The sequence below is a fragment of the Homo sapiens genome, chromosome 6 (genome assembly GCF_000001405.40).
Source record: "Homo sapiens chromosome 6, GRCh38.p14 Primary Assembly".
NCBI lineage: Eukaryota > Metazoa > Chordata > Mammalia > Primates > Hominidae > Homo > Homo sapiens.
Genome location: NC_000006.12, coordinates 122,989,963 through 123,008,098, shown reverse-complemented (window position 1 = coordinate 123,008,098; position 18,136 = coordinate 122,989,963). Strand labels below are relative to the sequence as shown.

Genomic DNA, 18,136 nt, shown 5'->3' with positions numbered 1-18,136 from the left:
ATTACCATTAGCAGCTCAGCAGGCTATTCCTCAGCAGAACAGTACTACACAGGATCTTGCCAGAATCTGTAAAATATCTTCCAAAGAAATGTAGCATCTATGAATTTTATCTCTTCAGGACTCCTGCCATACTCTCCTTTTTAAAATTATTTTAACTGTTATAATTTACAAATTAGAGGTCACTACAATGAAATACTCTACTTGTTCATGTTTGGGGTTTACACTGAAATTGTGTGAGTTCCACTATTGTTATTCTTCTCTTGTATGCTGAAAGAAAGCTATAAATCAAAACTAGCACATAATTGCAGCTCTTGACTCCTGATTGTGCTTCTCAAAATAGCATTAAGTAAAATTTGAATTTGTGAAAAGAATGCTGTGTAGCATGCAGTAAGAAGAAATCATGACACCAATAAGAAATTTTACAACTGACACCAGACTATGTAGAATACTGCTCTTGAAAAGAATAAAAGCTGCTAGAACACATAAAAAACATATGGAGCAGACTTTAATACCCATAGCAACTATGTACTACCTGTGCAATCAGAAGGAAAACATCTAATACCTCTTGAAATTTTTCAGTTATGAAATCAGTCTTCCTTGCACAGTAGGATATATATTCATGAATTAATTATTTGGGGCATGTTTATGTAACTTAAAAGCCTTTTTTAAAGTAAAACTCACAGCTATTAACAAATACAAAATAAAATGGGGATCCTTGATTATTTGCCTAATCGCAGCTTAGTCTCATACACCTTGAAGTTACTGAACTTTTCTAAGTCTCCCTTTTCTCTTTTAAAAATGATGATAATAATAGTTACCTCATAGGACAGAATGTAAACTACTTAGCCCAATGGGTAGCACATAGCAAACAATAAATGTTAACTTCTATGACTTCTACAATTGTATGACTTTTGCTTTTTCAACAATCACATATTCTATACTTGCTTTTTGTACTTTTTAACCACTTAATCTTAACTTCATAGAATTATTGTGAGGACAAAATGAAACAAAATAATATATGTAAAGTTTTTAACAGTACTTGACATATAATAGAAACCATAAATATTTTCTGCGATTATTGCTGTTGAAACTCTTCTATTTGGTTCTGTGACGCTGCATTGAACTTTTTTTCCTTCCACTTTTCTGGTCAGTCTATTATCTTTCATCTTTGGTTCCCTGCTGCGATCATCCAAATGTAGAAATAAGACTTTGTTCCCCTGCTGTCATCATATAGTATCTCCTGGAGTTACCAAATCATGCACTCATCCCCTTGGCCAATACATTGGTGACGGCTCGATATCCACAGAGCTAGTGTCAGTCCTGTGCAACATCCTCATCTTTCTAGTTGCCATCTGAACATCAGCACCTTAGTGACTCCTTGCTACCTGACATATATTAGTGTAACTCAATTTAGTGTCTCCCATTTTCCTCTGGGATTGCGTACATTAATCAATTAATGAAGAATCATTCTCAAATATTCCCTTTCCTTCTCCCTCTACATTTATTCACCAAGTCCTAAATTTTTTTGTCTTTTATATATTTATACATCTTTGGCATCTAACTCTTTCTACTAGAGTCCTAGCTTTATTTCCTAATATAATGGCACTTGTGTCTCTTTTTCTTTCTCTCCCATCTTTCTCTTCCAGAAATCTTGCCTACCCTCTATTGTGAGATAAATTGTCCTAAAACATTAATTGGCCTGAAAAATTGTCCTGCACACAACACCACTCCCCCATGGCTCTTTCAAAACTGCACCATTCCCTTAATAACCATACTTCTTGTTTTGTACACCCATGCATAGGCTCACCCCAGCTGTCAAGGTCATATTCAACCCCCAACAAGCTGGTACACTCCGATGCTTTATGTTCACTTAAATCTAGGGGAACATTCCCCTTCCTTTTCACCTCACCTAAGTTCTGCCCTCCTCTGGGCCCGCCACCAGCTTTCCCTGCTCTGCAAGATTGTCTTGACCTGCTGGAGACCTCAGCGCCCTCTCTCTCATATTCTGAAATTATAGTGCTTCAGTGTTTGTTCTATGGCCCCAGACATATAAGCTTAGCTTAAAAACTCTTTCACTGTTTGATACCACTTTCTATCTTCAGCACCAAATACTGTTCGCTGCACACTGTGGGTGCACAATAATATATGTTAAAATCAAACTATTTCCCAAGGGCATAGACCATGCTGCTTTATTTTACCTATATCTACATTTACAGTCATCAAAGTGCCATAATGGCATCATTTAAATATAACATTCACTTAAGGCTTCCCTGTCAGCCCAATACAAAACATGCTCCTGGACCAGAAAGAGGACAAGAGCCTTGTCCTGCCACACTGTGGAGGGGTGGCACCCTGCCTGCAATCAGGAGCCCCCTCAATTTTTTAGATCAGAGAAGCTTCTTCTCCTGCCTCTGGCCATGCAATTTTTTTGGTGACTACCTGACCCATGCTTCTTTGCTGGGGTTCTCAGCATCTCCTCCTCTACCATAGCTTTCAGTCAGTGCAAAGATCAACTTAATGACAAATAGGTCATATCCCTCTACTTTTCAACCTTTTCAGCATGACAAGAAAAAACTAGCATCTTGGCATCGCACTGAGCAGCATAACACCAGCAATTTCTCTTTGTCACTAAATCAATCAGCCATTATTAAATTCTTTATTTAGGCTTCCCCCACCCCTCAGTTTTCATTAAGCCACATTTTCTAATGTCTGAAGCACTTCATAGTAGAAGGTGCTAGGGGGAGGGGAAAAAAGGAGAAAAATTACCTTTATTAATGCCTCAGGGTATTATTAGTGGTAAAGCTGATGAAGCCTTCTAGGTGTTTTATATTACTGAGTGGTAATAATAATAATATGTCTATCTGGGTAATAGTTTAAGATTTCCAAAGCAATTTCAAATGCATTATCTTAATCTCAAAACAATTGCAAAATCTCTGAGCTGGATTTGTTCTTATTATTTTACAGATGAGGACAGAGGGTCTCAGAGAAAATTAAACAGTTTGCTTTAAATCACCTTAGGAAAAAAGGGGAACCTAGATTCAAAGCCAAATCTTTCTGATACCACATAGACCAGTGCTCTTTCCCTCTCCATGGTGCCTCCTACTCAGAACAGAGTTTGATGAATAGATAATTGGTTTTTTTTTTTTTTGTTTTTTGTTTTTGTTTTTGTTTTTGTTTTTGTTTTGGAGATGGAGTTTTGCTCTTGTCGCCCAGGCTGGAGTGCAATGGCACGATCTCAGCTGACTGAAACCTCCACCTCCTGGGTTCAAGTGATTCTCTTGCCTCGGCCTCCCAAGTAGCTGGGATTACAGGCGCCCGCCACCAGGCCTGGCTAATTTTTGTAATTTTAGTAGAGACGGGGTTTCACCATGTTGGCCAGGCTGGTATCCAACTCCTGACCTCAGGTGATCTACACGCCTTGGCCTCCCAAAGTGCTGGCATTACAGGCGTGAGCCACCGTGCCTGGCCTGGTCTGCTTTTTCATGGTAGCATAATATATATGTCAGAAAATAGGAGATCAGGAAGTCAATATCCTGGCACTCTCCAGCCTCACCACAATAGGGAGCTTTGGTGGAGGAAAAGCAATAAGACATCCTTAGGACTCAGAATAAGAAATGGCTAAATCTACAATCCCTGGAATAAATATGAACTCTTGAAATTTCATCTGTCTGGCTTGTATTACTGAGCACAGAAGATTAGATGTCTGAGCCTTGCTTTAATTTTACTGCTGTGGGAATGTAGGTGAGTGAGAACAAGAGAATCGTTGGAAATGAAACATCTGCGGGCAAAATGTCTTTCTCTGAAGAAGACGGGTAAAGAAAAAACTTTTGCATCTATTGCCACCAAAAAATAAAACAAAATAAAACAGAATTGTGCTGGGAGAATACAAACACATCAGAAAGCAATTATTTTTATCAGGGCCAAGTACTCTAAGCAAACATCTAGTTAACTAAAGTCTTTGACTTCAGAAAGTTTATTCTTCCATCTTAACGTTCTGTTCCTAATTGCCTGTTTTGTTATATTTAATCGAGATTTTCTAAACCATAGATGGAATTATCTTTAATTATCAGAATTTGATTTTTTTTATACATTTGCCTTTCCCTAGATTTAGGTTGGTAACTGTCTACACACACACACACAAAAAGCGACTAATTCACTTACCAGTTGTATGATCATGAGTGAAGTACTTAATTGCTACAATACACACAGTAGAATTATTTTGAAATGAATAATGAATAAAATGGAACAATAAATGTTGAATTCAGTTAACCAAGCAGGCAATGTCTTTCCTACACAACACTGAGTAGCCCACAGCTGCCCACCTGTCCCCAGCTTCTAGCACTGGTAAACAGTGTCCTCATTAGCTGCATATGACCTCTGATAGTTACTCAGCTTTACATGTTTTTTCTTCCCAGAGAGGTTACATATTGCTTAAAAGTACAAAGTATGTGTCTTTATTTGCCCCCAGTACCTACTAAAATGCTATGTACATAACAAATTCTCAAAGTGTATTTTTTTCAATTAATTTGACCAAAATATTAATCACTCAGTTTGTCATATGGTATCATAACGATCCCACATACAGGAGTATCCTTTCCTTCATGTTACGATAATAGTGTAATAGCCACTTACTATAATAGTGAAATAGATGTACCTGCCCTCAGTAAAGTAAGAGAATTTAACATTTCCCACAGAAAGGAGGAGATGTATTAATTTACTAAGGATAACTTCTTAATATACTAACTATTGGCTCATGTTTTAAAATATCTTTAAACATTTCTTTTGAGGCATCCTTTCAGGACACCGTAGTAACCTCAAGTCCTTTGCTTCTCGACCTTCTTTAAAGTTGATTTTGAAACATGAAAATAGCTTGGCTCAGGCCAGCCTTAGTCAACGTCCTACTGAAGGTTGGCACTTGTAGTTTTTGCTGTTATTTCGGGATTATTTTACTAATTATTGCATAATTGCCCCAGTTTTTGGAGATTGTCCTATTTTTGCAGAGATTCATCACCATATTCCTCCAACATTTCTCAGGACAACTTTTTTTCCTCCCCTATTTGCCATGATATGTACCAAGATTATAGTTTGGAATAAGTTGCAGTTAGCAGAGGATTTGTTAAAAGAGTTTCCCTGAAAGGAAGCAAGATGGAAGCTCTGCTGGGAGAGAAGTCCCATGGAATACATATCTGCCATTTGTGGTTTTGCCCTAACCAGTATCCACCCAAAAGATGGCAAAGCCATGCCTCCAGAATTTTTACGAAAAGGACTCCTAGACTCCAGACTCTGCCAGTAGGTATGACAATGTGAAGCAAAAAGCTGGGAATTATTTAATATGTTAATAAACTGAGAAAAGAATTCTTGAAAAATTAAGCTGAAAAATTAAACTTCTTATTTTTTTGCTTTTTTTGTTGCAGAGTAAAAATATTTCTCCATAATTATCTGGATAATTGCCCTGGACTGTTTTAATCTATTCCTGTTCATTTTATTTTATTTTATTTTATTTTATTTTATTATTTTTAGTACAATTCCAGAGATGAGTAAAGCTTTGTGATTGGCATTAATGCCCATCTGTGTAGTCTATGGCTATGTTTTAAATTGTAAGTTATCATCACCATAACCTTCTATTCTGAACATTGGCCATATTATTTTAGTAAATGCAAGCATAATCATAATTCAAACTGAACCACAAATAGCAACCATTCATACAATGTTTGCTTTTGAATGAAAAAGCCACACAATAGGAGCAAACTGACAAGTTTTTTGGGCAAATTCCAGGATAAGTTAGAGTATCATATCAATGTCTGACCAATCAGTTTTCTGCCCCTTCCAGAGCTTCGCTACTGTAAGTGGTAATCAATGTCCACTATGATAAGCCAAAGACCATGCAAGGTGGCCAGTGCTTTCTGGATTGCCACCATATTAAGAATCATTTTGGTTCTAACTGTGTTTGTTTTCGAATGGCCATTAACTAGATTCCAGATAAATGGTTGTTTGCTATACTAAAGTTCAGAGAATTACTGAGAATTACTGTTTCTAATGACTATTAACCATATTCCAGATAAATGGTTGTTTGCTGTACTAAAGTATAGTGAAGTACATACTTCTAATGAGATCTAGAGAAATAAAATATGACTTGCAGGCTGACAACTTACAGGTGAACTCTGACACTTCCTATCATCATTATGTTTCAGGTGACACAATTTCACTCATGAATATCTCCAACAATTATGTGACAGTGGATTTCAACTTCCTAGATACATGCTTGCATGCTCTAGGACCTAGAATGCCATGTACTTTCTTTCCAAGCTTCCTTTTCTCCAGCAGTGTTAACCTCTGCTAGCTTTACGGCACATTATCCTCACACCTGTTGATAAGATCCTGCGAACCATTTGAAGGTATTTGCTGAGTCCTAAGCAGGTCACTACCATTTAGGAAGGAAAACAATATGCAATACATGGAGGACGAAGGCATCTTTGTGATGCAGTGTAACAGTCAAATAGTTTTTAATTCCATGGCATTTACTTTTGTTGTCAGAAATTATGTAAGGCAATCTAAAAGGAGATAAAATTATATGAATCTTTTCCAAGGTACAGCTCAATAAATGTAACAGGTCATCTGGGCTTGCCCTATTGTTTTTTGGAAGAACCACAGGCCACACTGCAACTCATTTTGACATTTGAGTATTTCCATTTTTTTTTAGATTTGTTAGAAGGTGGGTACACTGTAAATATTAGGATTTTATGTTAGTCTTCTTAATGATGCCATGTCTCTCAAAAAGGCTTTGGAAATCATCCAATTCTTTACAATAACCTAAAAGTAAACTACACTAAATTGCAGCAGAAACAGACACTATTTTATTTATAGTCACTGTCTCACACGGTTTTACTGTTTTCAGTGTCCTGAAGAGCACAGAAAACTGTCCTACAAATTTCATATAGGAGAAAGCGTATATCAAATAAATCTCTACTCAGAATTCTTTTTATACAAATGCATAACTCAATTCAACTCAAATATTTATTGAGCATCTACTCTAGTTCAAGTGCCGTACTAAATATAATAACATGACAGTCTTTTTGTTAGATCAATTCTATTGGGGGTCTTTACGAATTGTTTCAAAATTCATAAAATCTTGTTTTTCCTTTTGTAGTTGGAAAATTATAAATAACCTGTTTTCCAAATAAACTGAGGCATTTTCTTCCGCCTCATTTCTAGAATTTATCTATGTAATCATCTACACTTCTCACACACTGTTTCTTTAAAACAGGCTACTTTTTAAGAAAGTTGTTGAAAGCCAGGTGCTTCACTTAACAACTCAAAGAATGTTGCCAGGATTATTTTCAGACATGCAGTCTTCTGGAGAAATCCAGGTAGCTTTGGATTGGTGGGATCAGGGCCTGGAAGGTGAGAACATCTCACTCACAGAACAGGGGAGGGATGAGGGATAAGAGAAACTAGCACATGGCATTATCCACCTAACAGAGCAATAATAGTAACTTAAACACCTAGGGAAAGAGGCAGACTTCTGTAGGAGTCAAGGAGCCTTCGGGGTAGAGGAAAGGGACTCAGGCTAAGAAGTGTTGGTAACATCCTGGCATTGGCAGAAAGGCAGCTGTCCTTTGAGTTTCAGAGCAGGAGCCAAGGACGTTTTTATGCACATGCTCCAGTGATAAAGGTTTATAGAGGGTGCAAAGGTGACAGATCTGTTTGTCTACTAGTCCCTGTCATTGGGTTATGTAGATTTAGGATAAAAGGAAGGTGGGAAAGAAGAGGGAATTATTATTTTTTTAATATAGGAAGAAATTCAACTGAAATTTTGACTAAGCTCTAAATCACTTGTATACCTTTTCACCTTGAGGTGCGATAATTTCTTGATTATACCTGTTTATTTCCAACCATAGAAATAGAATTCATAATTACAAGTCTAGACATCTTGACAGGAAATTTCTACAGAACACAGCTTCTCATTTTGTTCTAATACACATTTTAGTATTTAAGATTATGTGTAAGTTTAATGAAATGTAATTCTATATACCAATTATTAACTCCGTTTCCATTATAGATTTCTAGGGAAAGAGAATTTGATTACTAGTTGTCTGCCCTTTATATGGAAGCATGAGATAGACAACTAAAACACAGTGTCTCTAATAAATTCAGAATTATCACTTTCTCATATATATGAAAACTATAAGTGACTTTCATCTTAATTAGGTTTACAAATAATTATGAATATTAGTTCACTTATAGAAATTCATGAAAATAGGTCTGATATATATGTATGCCTCTCTGAATGCAATCTGCCCCCATAATGGTATCTCTAACAGACTTCGAGATTTATATAAATATAAAATTTCCAGGTTCCATTTCACTATAGCTCAATTAACAAAGTTCCAATCTGACATACAGAATATTAGTTTTTTCCTTGAATAAAATTTTTCAGTTCTGTTATACACAGTCATTGATTTGCATGATCCTACAATGTACTTTTAGGATGAAAAGAAAACATTTTTAAACAAAAATTGTGGTCAATGAATAAAAAGTTGTAATTCTTTAAAATTTTCAGCTACCTGATAAAAAGTGGAATAACATCTCTATAACTGGCCAAAGTAAGTAACAAAACTCCATTCCCTCTGAATGGCTAACTCTGTATGAGTTTCTTAGCATTATGAATCTTCAGGTAGTAGTTTGTCTTTCTATTTGCCTAAAAAAATTGGAGTGATTGTCAACCTAGAATTACAGGGAAAAAAATCACAATAAAATGAGAGAAAAAATAATTAAAAATATTAATTTACATTCTAAGATACCAAGACTCGGAAGCCTATCTGGAAATCTCTATGATCCATAAGCCCTCTTGGTAACTGTAAATGTCTTGTACGATGGCTCCAGAGATGATTTAAACTAACCAGATGCATTGAAAGTCACCATTCACAGAACTAAAAATACACCAATGTTTTAACAAGCAGCTTCTTATGATTCATAGCTCTGGTAGCATTTTAAGTCCCATGAAATATATTTAACTTTGAACTTAATTGAAACTACCTTGCACAAGAGCCTTTTATAATTTCTTATATCTTTCAGTCTGAGAAAACAGTTCTGAAGGAGGACAGAGAAGTGTCATTGCCTGCATTTTTCTATAATAATGTAGATAAAAAGAATATTATTTCTTCTCTATTAAGTAGCACATGAGCTCAAAAAGTCCACCAACTGACACATCTGAATATTTTCCACTTCCTTCCAAAAGATGAAAAATCACATGAGACAGGAGACAGATTCTTTAGATTAGTGGCAGGTGTAGGACACATACACCAGTCAGTGTACATTTTCAGTGTCAGCAGGCATGCTCAGCGACAGAGGATGCAACTCTTCCTTTCACTGAAGGGACACAAATCATATTATTCCTTCTTCTACACATCACCAAACAGAGAACTTCCCAAGCAACAAAACTACTTGCTTTTGGTCGAACGCCAGGCTATGCTTAAAAGATAAAACGTCAGTACCAAAGAGAGGATGATGATGATGATGATGACAATGATGATGGGTCTAGTTTAAGAATTTTTTTAGGAAGAAGGAGGAAAAGTTGTCCCCATTTTCTTACTGGTTTATCCAGCCCAATAAACTTTTTCAGAAGGTGAAACATACAGAGAAGCTTTATTTACAAGTTAAGTGATTTAGATCTCTGTGCAATAACGTGGTTAAGGTAGCACCTTAAAGCTGCAGTAGAAAGTGGGTGTTAGTGAAGTAAGTTTTAAAAGTAAAAATACAAGCCCTCCTCCCTTCCCAGGGTGCCCACCAAAAACTCATCTCCTGGTTTGTTTCTCTTTTCTCCAAGCCAAATAAACAAAAATATCAAATCTACAAAACCATGACACTACTCGGGGTAAATTCTGGAAAATGGGAGAGTAAAAGGAGAATACAAGTTTGGATTTAGGATTTACCTGCTCTGATCCCAATTGGCAGCAAAAAGGACTAGAATCTTCCTGCCATAGTGGTCCAGATTGGCCAGGCCCCCAGGGAAGCCATCCTTCAGTGCCTGCTTGATGCCAGGGTCGGTGGCCTTAAAGCTTTTGAACATGTCCAGGTTCTGCTGCCGGTACTCAAAGTACTGCGCCAGGAGGCGGAAGGCCTCAAAGTGATGAAACTTCCTAGCCCGCAAGAAGCGTAAGATGAAGGCATCATCCGTGCGCAGAAAGCCAATGTCCGGCCTGGTGATGACCATATCCCTCACCTCCTGGATGTCCTGGTGCAGCGTGTCTGGGTTTTCATTGAGCTCCAGGCGAGCTTTCTCCAGGGTCTCAGGGGAGAGACCGGCTTGCAAATGAGTCATTGTTCTGCCTATCTCTGAGCTTTCCCTCAGAAGACCTTGTTGACTGTCCCAAAGCAAACCTGGTCCTTGCCACCACCAGACTCCAGCCCCCAGACCTCCTGCTGCCTGCTTCCTCTCCCCTACAGGAAATTAATAATCTTGGTGTCCAATCAAGTGCCCTGTTGCTCCTGCTTTCCCCCAGCAAAGCTGGGGGGGCCGGGGGGTGTAAACTTCTTCCTCTGCCCCCTAAAATACAACACCCTACTTTGGCTCCCTCTTTCCTTTCCTTTAAAGAGATGTGAACCCCTGAAGGGCTCCGCACTCCTCTTCTTGTCCTTTCTCTTTCCTAACAAATCACCCCTAATTCCACCTAGCACGGGTGTTTCTGATCTTGGTACTGTCCTCTTCTCTTCTCTTCCAAGATGTAACAAAAACAACCCCCACGCACATCTCAGCCCCTGCACTGTGAATGTTCCTGCGGTCCCTGCTGAAGGATACGCCTGCCAGGGGTGGCGATGGAAATTCTGATTAATAATAAGGTAGCTCTTCAGCGCTGAGCTCCAGGGCGGAGAGAGATCATCTTTGCCAGAAAGAAAAAGAGACAGAGAGAAAGAGGGGGGAGAAAGGAGATTATTTCTCCCTGTACTTATTCAAAGACGCTATTTTTAAAAGACAAATTTGTGTGATTTATTTAAGATTATTGTGATCCAATTAGGTGAAGACTCTGCAGATAGCGCACCTTCCCACCACCCCTCTGAGATACACCGTGATCTCATAAGGCACCAGCAGGGGTTCTGGTGGCGTTGGTACCAGCGTGGGCTCCCCCAACCCCACCCCCAACTTCTGCCTTCCTCTAGCCCTTCATTTCCACGGACTTGCCGCGGGGTTGGAGAAAAGGGGGGAGGGGGAGGGAGGGGACCGGGGATATCTCTGGGAATGCACATTTCAAAAACGAAGAGAAGGGGAGGACGTTGTGAAGAATAAAATAAAAATGTCCTTATCTTTTCTATAAAACCCCAAAGCAAGAAAGAAGAAAGAGCAGCCGCTCCTACCAGCAAACCCAGAGGCGGGGTCGCTAAGCAATGCGGCACTCCCTGGCATCCATCAGCCGCGGCTTCAGCAGCGGCGGCGGCGGCGACAGCGGCATCAACTCCTCTGGGCGGGATGGAAGGAGCAGAGAAGAGGGGTGGCGGCGGGGACCCGGGCCGAAGATGCGCTCGGGAGCAGCCGCGGCCACATCGTCCGCGGGCAGCCCGCAGCCTCTCCTAGCAGGAGGGGTGAGGATCGCAGGGCTAGGGCCACCGCTGTCCCAGGTTCTCGCCTGGCCCTGCCATTTTCGCCTTCGGGAGAGAAGGTGGGGAGGAGGACGCGAACGCCTGGATGGAGAAGGCCACTCGGGCGGCCACCGCCTTTGTGAGCCCTCCGGGAGCAGCCGGGGAGGTGGGCGCAGCGGGGCGGCTGCTGCGCGGCGCTGGCCTCTCCTGGGGCTCTCCCGAGCGGTCCGAGTCAGGGTTGCCCCACCGGGCTGCGGCGGCGGCTCCGGCTGCTGCTGCTGAAAGAGGACTCGGCTCAGCCCAACTCCTCTCTAATTATCCCAGCACAGATCTCGCTGCGACGTAAGCACTCACTCAGCTCGCGCGCGCGCTCCGCTCCTTTCCCTGCCTCGTTGGGGTAGGACGGCAATTTGGGTGGCATCGAAATATCCCGAGCCCTAAGTTTAGGCTGCTCTTCGTCCCCACTCCTCAGCAGGCTGCTGAGCGGGCGTCGCCGGGCCAGGCGGGGCAACCATGCTTTCCAGCCTCCCCACGCCCCTCTCTTCGCCCTTTGTGTGCAAGACCCCAGATCAGCCTGGAGAGTAGCTGTTGTAGACGGTAATTCACATTGACACGCATTTTCTCGTTCCTGTAGGAGGCAATTTTGATGTAGAAGGAGTACGGAAACATTCTGTACTTTTCGCATTTGTTGTAGACAGAGATATTTAATTTAGAAAACACCAGAGTGGTTCCAAGACAATGTACTGATGATTAAGCCTCCGGAGGAACTTATATGAATAGTTTTTCAACCAGTCTCCCTGCTAAATTTCTGTTGAAGAGGATGAAAATGAGCACTAGGGTAAATGATAATAAAAACATAATTCTCAAAGGAAGAAAAAAATAGGAACTTCACTCATATCTCATCATAAAGCAAATATTTCTGGAAACACATACCATCCTTCCTTCAGTTGTATGCATCTGTATATGAGAATCATTATAAATAAACAGAAGTCCTTGCGCTTAATATGACTATCTATGGATTTGAGGAAAAGGGATATTTTCTATTTTCAAAACACAGCACATATTACTGAGCGTGTTACTAAGAGCAACTTTTGACTTTATAAACTGTAGAATGGGGTCTTGAATTGAAGTTAATTCAATGCAACTAATATTTACTGAGTTCCACGAGGTGTGGGGCATTTTTCTGCATTCTGTGTATAGGAGGTGGTCTTGAAGATAAGCAAATTTTGTCATTTTCTTATCTTGACATTTCTTATCTTGTCATTTTCAATGTTGATGACTATGAGAACCCTCAAAATACAGGCACACTTGTTTTTGCTCTTCTCATGGCGATGGTGTTGATAAAAAGAAAGAAGGAAAAGGGTTGTATGGTAGAGCTAGAGCATTTATTAATTAAATTAATGCAAATTAATGTAGGAACCCGAATAAGACAATAAATTACACACACACACACACACACACACACAGTCATTATTGTCAAGGAATTTATGTTTTAAATGGGGAAGGCAGAAAATAAACCACTTAAGTGTGTGTATATGTGTGTTATATATATGCACTATATATAAGGTCCTTCTAGGATTTTAAGTGATTATGACTTTCTCAAGCATGCTGAATGCAATGTGAACTGTTAAATTTTTGGTTCTCATTTTAAAACATTTGAAAAAATCATTTTTTCTAATATTTTAGAGGTTGAAGAAAATTTATGTTTCGTATCAACTGTATGAAGAAGTTTTAGTCATCACCAACATGGAGAGACAATTCTCCCTGGATCCGTTGTGTTTCTACCTGTCTTATGACCAAGGCACTAATTGCCCTTTTTTCTAGACTGTCTTCTCAAGGGTATTTGTACAGTAAATAGTCTTGGAAGATATTGGAAGATAGAGATAGTACCTCCATCTGAAACAAAGCCTTGAAAGCTGTGATATCTCTCTCCTGACCAAAAGGTAGGCAAGCTTATTTGAATTCCCTAAACTCAGAGCTATTCTGCTGTAATGCCACCCATTGTTTATGCCAGTATCACTTGATCCTCTTTTCTTAGCTATCTGTGGGAATTAGAGCTCAGGGGACCAGTCAATGCAAGATATGCAGATGCTCATACTGCCCGCTATGCCTGAGTGACAAAATCCTTTATCTCGAAGCCAAGAGTTTTGCATCTTCCATCGGCATCCATGAAACTACAGCCAGCTAACTTGTTAGCCTGTAAGTGAAGTTAAAATTCAGATCTTTCACCTTGATGAAAAAACAGTTGTTTAATTTTGTTCTCTGAGATGGACATATTAGACTATATTTTTAAGGGAATTTATAAAATAAAATGTATTTTTTGGCCCAGCATATGTTATGACCAGTATTGAAGGTTGAAGGATGACATTTTTATTATTTATTATTTACCAATAACAGAATTGCTTCAAATAGATTTATTTTAACATATCTACATATGATAGAAATAGTCTCTATCACCCAGTAGGATTGTTGGAGCAGGTCAGTTAGGTATATATAAGATTTTTAAATCATATTTACAAAACTTTAGTGATTATACTGTTATTCTCTCTCTACTTATACATTTGAACTCAGTTCTGAAACCAAAATGAATACACGAAGCCATCTAAAATTAAACAAGGTGTTTATTCAGATGACATCAGAGCATTTGATTTTCATTCAATATTAATCTACCTTGCCAAATTAATGCAAAGTAATGTAGGAACTGGAATATGAGAATAAATTATCTAAACAAAAGTATTAATTAAAGCATTATTGGAAAAATAATTAAATCAAGGACTTCAGGTGTTTTCAAGTAACTAGAAAGAAAAGTTTGGTTTACTGCTATATTTAAAATGAGTAGAGTAAGTACTTTATGTTTTAAAACATTTTATTCCCTTTATTGTTAAATAAAATATATGCACAAAAAGGAGCACAAAATAAAGATGTACGGCTCAATTCTATCTTACAAGGGAAACACACATGTAAGTGTCCAACCAGGTTAAGAAACCAAGCATTGTCAGTAGCCAGAAAGCCCCCTCCCATTCCCCTCCTAACTACTGGCCTCTTTCCAACAAAGGAAGCCACACTGTCTTTATTTTAAAAGTAATCCTTGTTTGTTTTTTTTAAATTTTACCAACTAAATAACTACAATTTTGTTTTTCTGTTTCTGAACTTAAATGTAATCATTTATATGTAATGTTATGATTGACCTCTTTCATTCAATATTAAATTTGTGTGATTTGTCTTTGTCAGTGTTGTTGTATGTAGCAGCTCCCTCATATTCAGTAATGGTGCATAAAATTGCATTTCTTTTTTTCCTGAGACGGAGTCTCCCTCTGTCACCCAGGCTGGAGTGCAATGGGGTGATCCTGGCTCACTGCAACCTGCGCCTCCCAGGTTCAAGTGATTCTCCTGCCTCAGCCTCCTGAGTAGCTGGAATTACAGGCACACGCCACCACTCCTGGCTAATTTTTGTATTTTTCGTAGAGACAGGGTTTAACCATGTTGGTTAGGCTAGTTATGAACTCCTGACTTCATGATCTTCCAGCCTCGGCCTCCCAAAGTGCTGGGATTACAGGCATGAGCCACCGCACCCAGCCGTAGAATTTCATTTTTATACACCTACTACAATATGTGTGTCATTCTACTGTGGAGGGAAATTTGGGTTGTTTTCAGTTTGGAGCTCTTATGAACCATGATGTATGAAGATTCTGGCACATGTCTTTTGGTGCACATGGAGAGACCTAGGAATGAAAATTTCTGGGTCATATGTAATGTGCATCTCCAAATTTAGTAAATAATGCCAAACTGTTTTCCAAATGGTTGTTTCACCAACCCCCAGCAATATATGAGTGTTCTTACTGTGCCATGTTCTCAGAAATCTTATTATTGTCTATAATTTTAACTTTATCCATTCTGATTTTGAACAAGGGTATTGTATTATGGTTTTGGTATGCTTTCCCATCACTACTAATGAGGTTAAACTTTCACGTTTTTTGGGCCATTTGTACATTATTTGTGTGAAGTGTCATTTCAGAGATTTTGCTGATGTTTATAGTGGGGTGTTGATTGCTTTAATATTGAATTGTAGAGCTTCTTTATAGATTCTGAATATAAACCCTTTGTCAGCTGCACATGTTGTGAATATCTTCTCCATGTCCATGGCTTGTTTCTTTCACTCTCTTAGCCCTGTCTCTTAATCAACATAATTTTAAATTTTTAGGTAATTCAGTTTTTCTCCTATGAATAGTGCTTTTTAGGTCCTGCTTAGAATATCCCATAATTACTCAGATATTTATTCTCCAGTTTACTGTCTAGAAATTTTATTGTTGTTGCCTTTCACATTTAGACTTGCAATTCACCAGATTGTATTTTGCTCATAATGTGAGAAATAGGTCAAGTAATTTTTTTCTATGTGAATAACCTGTTTACTCAGTACCATTTACGGAGACTATCAAAAAGATCATCTTTTTTTCCCTACTAGACAGCGCAACTGTTGTCACACAAAAATAATTTTTCACATGCGAGTAGATTGTGATTTAATGTAAATTTTAAACTCCACCTTTTTTTATACAACCAATATTCCTCAGTGGTTCCCAAAATGTGGGTCCCAGACCAGCAGCATTAGAATTACCTGAGAACTTGTTAGAAATGTAAACTCCCATGCCTGACATATTGAATCAGAAATCCTCCCTAAAATTCAGAGACTCACAAAGTTTTCTGCTCAGTCCTTTGAATGATTCTAATTTACACTGAAATTTGAGAATCAATGCTTTAGATTTAACCCCATATGTATCCTTTTTACTCTTCTTTATTCCTTCCCGTATCTCTGAGTTTCCATATAGTAGTGATTTGTTTGTTTTTTCACTTGAACACATTATAATGTGTCCTTTAGTACAGATCTGAGGGTTGTAAATTATTTGTTTTATTTGTCTGAAAGTTATTTTACTTTTACTCTAAAAACATATTTGTAAGCTATAGGATTCTAAATTAGCAGCTGTTTCCTTTCAATACTTTAAATATTTTTTTTCTTTTTCTCTGGCTTGTCTTATTTCTGTAGTCAAGTTAACTCAATTTTTTCATTATTCCTTTGAAAGTAATCTCTTATTTGTCTCTGCCTGATTTTATTTTCTCTTCTCATCTTTAATTTTCAGCATATTTCTGATGAGCTTTTTTTCATGTTTTTTGGCCACATAAATGTCTTCTTTTGAGAAGTGGCTGTTGATATCCTGTGCCCACTTTTTCATGGGGTTGTTTTTTCCTTATAAATTTGTTTAAGTTCCTTGTAGATTCTGGATATTAGCCCTTTGTCAGATGGATAGACTGCAAAAATTTTCTCCCATTCTGTAGGTTGCCTGTTCACTCTGATGATAGTTTCTTTTGCTGTGCAGAAGCTCTTTAGTTTAATTAGATCTCACTTGTCAATTTTGGCTTTTGTTGCCATTGCTTTTGGTGTTTTAGTCATGAAGTCTTTGCCCATTCCTATGTCTGTAGATGTGTGGTGTTATTTCTGAGGGCTCTGTTCTGTTCCATTGATCTGTATATCTGTTTTGGTACTGGTATCATGCTGTTTTGGTTACTGTAGCCTTGTAGTATAGTTTGAAGTCAGGTAGCATGATGCCTCCAGCTTTGTTCTTTTTGCTTAGGATTGTCTTGGTTATATGGGCTCTTTTTTGGTTCCCCATGAAATTTAAAGTAGTTTTTGTAATTCTGTGAAGAAAGTCAATGATAGCTTGATGGGGATAGCATTGAATCTATAAATTACTTTGGGAAATATGGTCGTTTTCACGGTATTGATTATTCCTATCCATGAGCATAAAATGTTTTTTCATTTGTTTGTGTCCTCTCTTATTTCCTTGATCTGTGGTTTGTAGTTCTCCTTGAAGAGGTCCTTCACATCCCTTGTAAGTTGTATTTCTAGTTATTTTATTCTCTTTGGAGCAATTGTGAATGGGAGTTCACTCATGATTTGGCTCTCTGTCTATTTTGGTGTATAGGTACTCTTGTGATTTTTTGCACATTGATTTTGTATCCTGAGACTTTGCTGAAGTTGCTTATCAGCCTAAGGAGATTTTAGACTGAGACGCTGGGGTTTTCTAAATATACAATTATGTCATCTGCAAACAGAGACAATTTGACTTCCTCCCTTCCTATTTGAGTGTCCTTTACTTCTTTTTCTTGCCTAATTGCCCTGGCCAGAACTTCCAATAGTATGTTGAATAGGAGTGGTAAGAGAGAGCATCCTTGTCTTGTGCCAGTTTTCAAAGGGAATGCTTCCAGCTTTTGCCCATTCAATATATTGGCTGTGGGTTTGTCAAAAATAGCTGTTATTATTTTGAGATACATTCCGTCAATACCTAGTTTATTGAGAGTTTTTAGCATGAAGCGGTGTTGAACTTTATCGAAGGCCTTTTCTGCATCTATTGAGATAATCATGTGTTTTTTGTCATTGGTTCTGTTTATGTGATGGATTACATTTATTGATTTGTGTATGTTGAACCAGCCTTGCATCCCAGGGATGAAGCCAACTTGATCATGGTGAATAAGCTTTTTGATGTGCTGCTGGATTCGATTTGTCAGTATT

At 38.4% G+C, this 18,136-nt stretch overlaps 1 protein-coding gene and 1 long non-coding RNA gene across 3 annotated transcripts in view; one reads left to right on the top strand and one right to left on the bottom strand.

Annotated features, from left to right (window-relative positions):
- The window catches only part of CLVS2 (clavesin 2), a 76,691-nt gene extending 64,827 nt beyond the window's left edge, over window positions 1-11,864 (bottom strand). For both annotated transcript variants that reach the window (NM_001010852.4, XM_047418196.1), the window contains exons 1-2: window positions 11,353-11,864; window positions 9,933-10,880 (exon numbers count right to left, since the gene is read on the bottom strand). In NM_001010852.4, the coding sequence (NP_001010852.2) occupies window positions 9,933-10,321 (389 nt within the window). In that variant the 5' untranslated portion in view covers window positions 10,322-10,880; window positions 11,353-11,864. The remainder of the gene's footprint in view (window positions 1-9,932; window positions 10,881-11,352) is intronic.
- Window positions 11,865-13,178: 1,314 nt separating this feature from the next.
- LOC124901392 (uncharacterized) lies at window positions 13,179-14,804 on the top strand. The gene is made up of 2 exons (XR_007059733.1): window positions 13,179-13,517; window positions 13,613-14,804. It is a non-coding gene; the product is annotated as an uncharacterized LOC124901392 (long non-coding RNA).
- The last annotated feature ends 3,332 nt before the right edge of the window (window positions 14,805-18,136 follow it).